This window comes from Homo sapiens, chromosome 20 (assembly GCF_000001405.40).
Source record: "Homo sapiens chromosome 20, GRCh38.p14 Primary Assembly".
Taxonomy (NCBI): domain Eukaryota; kingdom Metazoa; phylum Chordata; class Mammalia; order Primates; family Hominidae; genus Homo; species Homo sapiens.
The window spans coordinates 56,724,138-56,730,137 of record NC_000020.11 but is presented as its reverse complement, the minus strand read 5'-3'; positions in this window follow the sequence as shown (position 1 = coordinate 56,730,137).

Below are 6,000 nucleotides of genomic sequence, written 5' to 3'. Positions count from 1 at the left end.
TCACCGACCCATCCCTTGGTTCCAGACCATTCGTGAGGCCCAGCAGCAGTGTCATGCCTCTCGTGGCTTGGTTAGTTGGCCCCTCCTTGATTTGGGGGAAGCCAATGGATCATCATCTTGGATTTCAGTCACTTGCCATCACTGTCTTTCACCAGAAGCCTGCTGATGAAGTCAATGTGTAAGAAGAGGATCCTGCAGAGATAAGACGTGGGCTCACTCATCCTGCTCACTCTTCAGCCTGCACTATGTGCTAGCCCACTTGGGAGCTTGGTGGATACCTACAGAAGCAAAGTAGCTCATGAGCAGGGCAACAAACTTCTATTAGTAAAATCCACCATTCTGGGGCTTTCCAAACACCCAAAAATACACAATATTTTCCTTCCATAAACACACCCTTCAAAACGGCATTATCCTTCATCTAGTCCTCTACTTCCTTATACCTCAAAGTGTCTTTTATTTCCCTTTTTAGACATGAAATATTTGGCAGCTTTAGCAAAGCAGGTTGGCTGCCATATATGAAAAATGTAACCTGAAACCTCCGCCTCCCGGGTTCACGCCATTCTCCTGCCTCAGCCTCCCAAGTACCTGGGATTACAGGCACCCGCCACCACGCCCAGCTAATTTTTTGTATCTTTAGTAGAGACGGGGTTTCACCATGTTGGCCAGGATGGTCTCGAACTCCTGACCTCGTGATTCACCCTCCTGGGCATCCCAAAGTGCTGGGATTACAGGCGTGAGCCACCGCGCCCGGCCCGAATGTTAAATTTTTATTTAGCTCCAAAATAGCTTGAGGGGAAAAAAAGAAAAACAATGATGAAGTTGTTGGGGGCACAGAGGTGTTTTATAAATAGGAAAAATTAAAGATCATAGAATCAGCATTACCAGTGGTTCAAGTAAAAATCCTAGATAAATGATAAGAATTACTGATAAAAAATGAAATATACTTGACTCTGGAAATTTGTAAATAATAATCTAAATTAAGTCTTAAATCCAACACAGAGCAGTTGGGTGCAGGATTGTTTGTTTGTTAAAAAAAAAAAGCTCCTCTTATCTGGCTGGACACGGTGGCTCATATCTGTAACCCCAGCACTTTGGGAGGCCAAGACAGGCGGATCACGAGGTCAGGAGTTCGAGACCAGCCTAGCCAACATGGTGAACCCCCGTCTCTACTAAAAATACAAAAATTAGCCAGGCGTGGTGGTAGATGGCTGTAGTCCCAGCTACTTGGGAGGTTGAGGCAGGAGAATCACTTGAGCCTGGGAGGCAGAACTTGCAGTGAGCTGAGATGGTGCTGCTGCACTCCAGCCTGGGCATCAGAGCAAGACTCCATCTCGGAGAAAAAAAAAAAAGTTTCTCTTATCTTGTAGGGAGGCTTACAAAGCAGTTTCTTTAGGCAATCATGTATTTCTATAGCACACTTTGTCCCCCAGAGAACTGCCAGCCCCAACCATCCGGATAACTCTGTTTTTCCACAAATTCAAAGTGCTTTGAAAACTGGAGACTTGGGAGAGATCTACGCTTGTGGTGAATTATTCAAATCTGGGAATTGTCACAATGGAAAAGAAACCAAAGCTCATTCCAGTCTTTCTTTTTGAGGGCAACAGTGCTTTAGACAGAATGCTCTCGTCCCTTGAGAAAACCACATATTTTGAAAAGGGGAATTTTTTTTTAAACAAAAAAACTCTGCTGTAAATGAATTTCTTTCTTTTTTTTTGTGACAAAGTCTCTCTGTCACCCATGCTGGAGTGCAGTGGTGTGATCTTGGCTCACTGCAACCTCCACCTCCCAGGTTCAAGCGATTCTCCTGCCTCAGCGGGGACTATAGTTTGCGCCACCATGCCTGGCTAATTGTTGTTTTGTTTTTGTTTTTGTTTTTGTTTTTGTTTTTGTTTTTGTTTTTGAGATGGAGTCTCGCTCTGCCCCCCAGGCAGGAGTGCAGTGGCACGATCTCGAATCACTGCAAGCTCCGCCTCCCGGGTTCATGCCATTCTCCTGCCTCAGACTCTGAGTAGCTGGGACTACAGGCGCCCGCCACCACGCCCGGCTAATTTTTTATATTTTTAGTAGAGACAGGGTTTCACCGTGTTAGCCAGGATGGTCTCCATCTCCTGACCTCATGATCCGCCCGCCTCAGCCTCCCAAAGTGCTGGGATTACAGGCGTGAGCCACCGCGCCCGGCCAATTTTTGTATTTTTAATAGAGACAGAGTTTCACCATCTTGGTCGGGATGGTCTTGAAAAATGCATTTCAATGGTATGACAACGGTATGACATTCTATTTCCCTTCTTGCATCAAATGCAGAGTCATGCATCAAGTGCAGAGACACTATGTGGACGAATAAACACAATAGGTTAAGAAAGGGGTTGATTTAAGAAGTAAGAAAGGGAAAAAGGTAACTTTAAAGTGGAGAAACCTGGCAAACACAACCTCAACCACAGCCAGGGTATCAAGGTCAACATCAACAGTGATAACTCGTGTTGACAGTGCGTACTTTTTTGATAGGATGTGATGAGAAGGGGCTTCACCTTTGTGATCTTCCTCCCCTAAACTCAGTCTGTTTGGTGAAAATAACATCCGACAAATTCTAATTGAGGTATGTTTTACAAAACATCTTTTTTTTTTTAAATGGAGTCTCACTCTGTGTGGCTCAGGCTGGAGTGCAGTGACGCAATCTCAGCTCACTGCAGCCTTCACCTCCCAGGTTCAAGAGATTCTCCTGCCTCAGCCTCCCAAGTACCTGGGACTACAGGTGCTCACCACCACACCCGGCTAATTTTTTTTTTTTTTTTTTTTTAGTAGAGAGGGTGTTTCACCGTGTTGGCCAGGCTGGTTTCGAACTCCTGACCTGAGATGATCCACCCACCTTGGCCTCCCACCATCAAGGTCATCAAAAACAAAGAAAGTCTAAGAAACTGCCGCAGCCAAGAAGAGCATAAGGAGACAGGATGACTCAATGTCATGTCGTATCCTGGAGTAGGGAAACAACACGGGGAAAACTAAGGAAATGTCTATCAAGTATGGGCTTTAGTTAATAAAAATCCATCAGTATTAGTTTATTAATTATGACAATATGCAATAGTAACGTAAGAAGTTCATAATAGAAGAAGCCGGATTGTGGGGCCTATAGAAACTCTGTACTATATTTGCAATTTTTCTGTAAATGTAAAACTATTCTAAAATTTAAATAAGATTTTAAAAGTAGTAAATCTTGTGATTTGTCTAGTATGTTTTTTATCTGCTTGAAGGAAAAATATTTTAATTTATTTTTCATCAGTAATTCTTATCATCTATCTAGGATTTTTATTTATTTATTTATTTATTTTGGAGATGGAGTCTCACTCTGTCGCCCAGGCTGGAGTGCAGTGGTGCGATCTCAGCTCACTGCAACCTGTGCCTCCCAGGTTCAAGCGATTCTCCTGCTTCAGCCTCCGGAGTAGCTGGGATTACAGGCACCTGCCACCATGCTCGGCTAATTTTTGTATTTTTAGTAGAGACAGGGTTTCACCGTGCTGGCCTAGGATTTTTATTTAAGCCATTGGTACTGCTAATTCTATGATCTTTAATTTTTCTATTTATAAAATTACACCTGCTGTTTTGGTTATTAATCTGTTGTCTGTTTAGTCTTCAAATACCTGGTAAACAAGTACTCTAGTCTGGGCATAGTGGCTCACACCTATAATCCCAGCACCTTGGGAGGCCGAGTTGGGCGGATCACTTGAGGTCAGGAGTTTGAGACCAGCCTGGCCAACATGGCGAAAACCCATCTCTACTAAAAAATACAAAAAAATTAGCTTGGTGTGGTGCCACACACACTTTTGGTCCCAGCTGTTCTGGAGGCTGAGGCACGAGAACAGCTTCAACTCAGGAGGCAGAGGTTGCAGTGAGTTAAGATCCCAGCAAGAGGTACCCGGAAGCCCAAGCGCCACCTCTACCTCTGGGTACCTGTTTAAGAGGCGTCCTCTCACCAGCATAGAAAAGCAAAACAATCAGACAGAGAGGAAGACTGGATCTAATGCCGGAGGATGATCAGAGGCGAATGATCATGAAGAGAAAGTGAGATGACAGTGCTGATTCTTAATGGATTCCTGATTTCCTCTGACAATCTCCACAAAGTCAGGCCTCACTACCTGCCCTTGATTTCCCAAGTGACCATTAAATCCCTGGAAAAAGAAAGTATTTAGTGCTTAAGCTAGTTTGAGTAGGTGTCTGCTGTTTGTAACCAATATATCTCTGACTAAGCCCATGTTCACTGTTCAAAGTTTGAGAAGGACCAGAAAACATAAAGAGAAATTTTAAAACAAAACAAGCACAGGCAGCTGCATGACATCTATTGTCTGGGTAGTGACCAGCAGCAGCACCACCATTTTTGCCTGTCCAATGTGCATTTTGCCTGGACTTTCTACAGTGATAGGGTGTAAGCTGAAAGTTGGTGGTCAGGGTTTCACAGGGCACAATCTGCCTTAGAAGAAAGCCAGGAGAGGAAAGCAATATTGAGAGATAGAGAATGGCTGGGCATGGTGGTTCATGCCTGGATTCCCAGCACTTTGGGAAGCTGAGGCAGGCAAATCGCTTGAGCTCAGAAGTTCGAGGCTAGCATGGGTAACACGACAAAATCTCATCTCTAAAATATATACAAAAATTAACAGGGCATGGTGGAGCATGCCTGTATTCCCAGCTGCTTGGGGGACTGAGGCAGGGATTGCTTGAACCCAGGAGGTCAAGGCTGCAGTGAGCTGTGATTGTGCCACTGCACTCCTGCCTGGGGGCCAAAGTAAGACCCTGTCTCCAGAAAAAAGAGAGAGAGAAATAGAGAATGATTCCGGATGGCATCCTTCAGCCCCTGGATCCAGCCGTGCCTGAAGCCACTGGCCTTTTCAACCACATAAGTCAATAAATTTCTTTGTTTATCTAAGAAAGTTTGTGGCCGGGTGCGGTGGCTGACACCTGTAATCCCAGCAGTTTGGGAGGCTGAGGCAAGTGTATCACGAGGTCAGGAGATCAAGACCATCCTGGCTAACACGGTGAAACCCCATCTCTACTAAAAATACAAAAAATTAGCCAGGTATGGTAGCACACGCCTGTGGTCCCGGCCACTTGGGAGGCTGAGGCAGGAGAATCACTTGAACCTGGGAGGCAGAGGTTGCCATGAGCTGAGATTACACCACTGCACTCCAGCCTGGGTGACAGAGCGAGACTCCATCTCAAAAAAAAAAAAAAAGAAAAAAGAAAAGAAAAAGAAAGTTTGCATAGGGTTTTCACTCTCCTGTAATTAAACAAACCTCATGAAATGTCTTAGGTCAGAGACCTGTATGAAGAATTCAGACAGTTCTCCTCTTCAACCCTAAGCCAGGGTGGGTAAGAATACTGAGTGCTGGCTGGACAGCTCTGGCACCTGCCCCTTTTTACAATTTATCTGAGGAAAAAACACATTCAGAGTTTTGCCTGCACTCCAAGGATTAGGAAAGGGGGCCAAGAGGAGACATGAGGAGGAAGATGGAAGCTTCCCTCTGAACAAGAACAGAGACAGTGCCAGAAAGTTCAGATCAAAGAGGAGGGCTGCGTTGACAGGGGCTTAGTCAGCCGCTGGTGTCAAGACCCAAAGAGAAAGTTGGGCAGGTTGACATGGAGCCCACAGGTGGGAGTGGGAGGTGGAGTCTGGATTTTGACCCAGCCGGCTGGAAACTCATTTACTTTTGGCCATGGTGACTTCCTGTTTTCAAAGGGAAGGAGGCATTGGTAAAGAAAAGCCGCCCCCGGCTTACTGGACAGCAAGTATTTCTCACAGAGTTCTATTTTTTGCTCCATTCAATGCCAGTGGTTCCAATTTATTTTATACAAAACAGGGTTCTGTGATGATGGGAAGGTCTTCAACAAGGCCAGTGGATTTGATTGAGAGCAGAAGATGAATGAATCATTCCAAGATGTTAGACAAAAACCCCAACACACCCAGGTTCCCCCGTTGAGACTGGGCTGCTGTTTGGCGTTGTGGGGAGAGTGAGC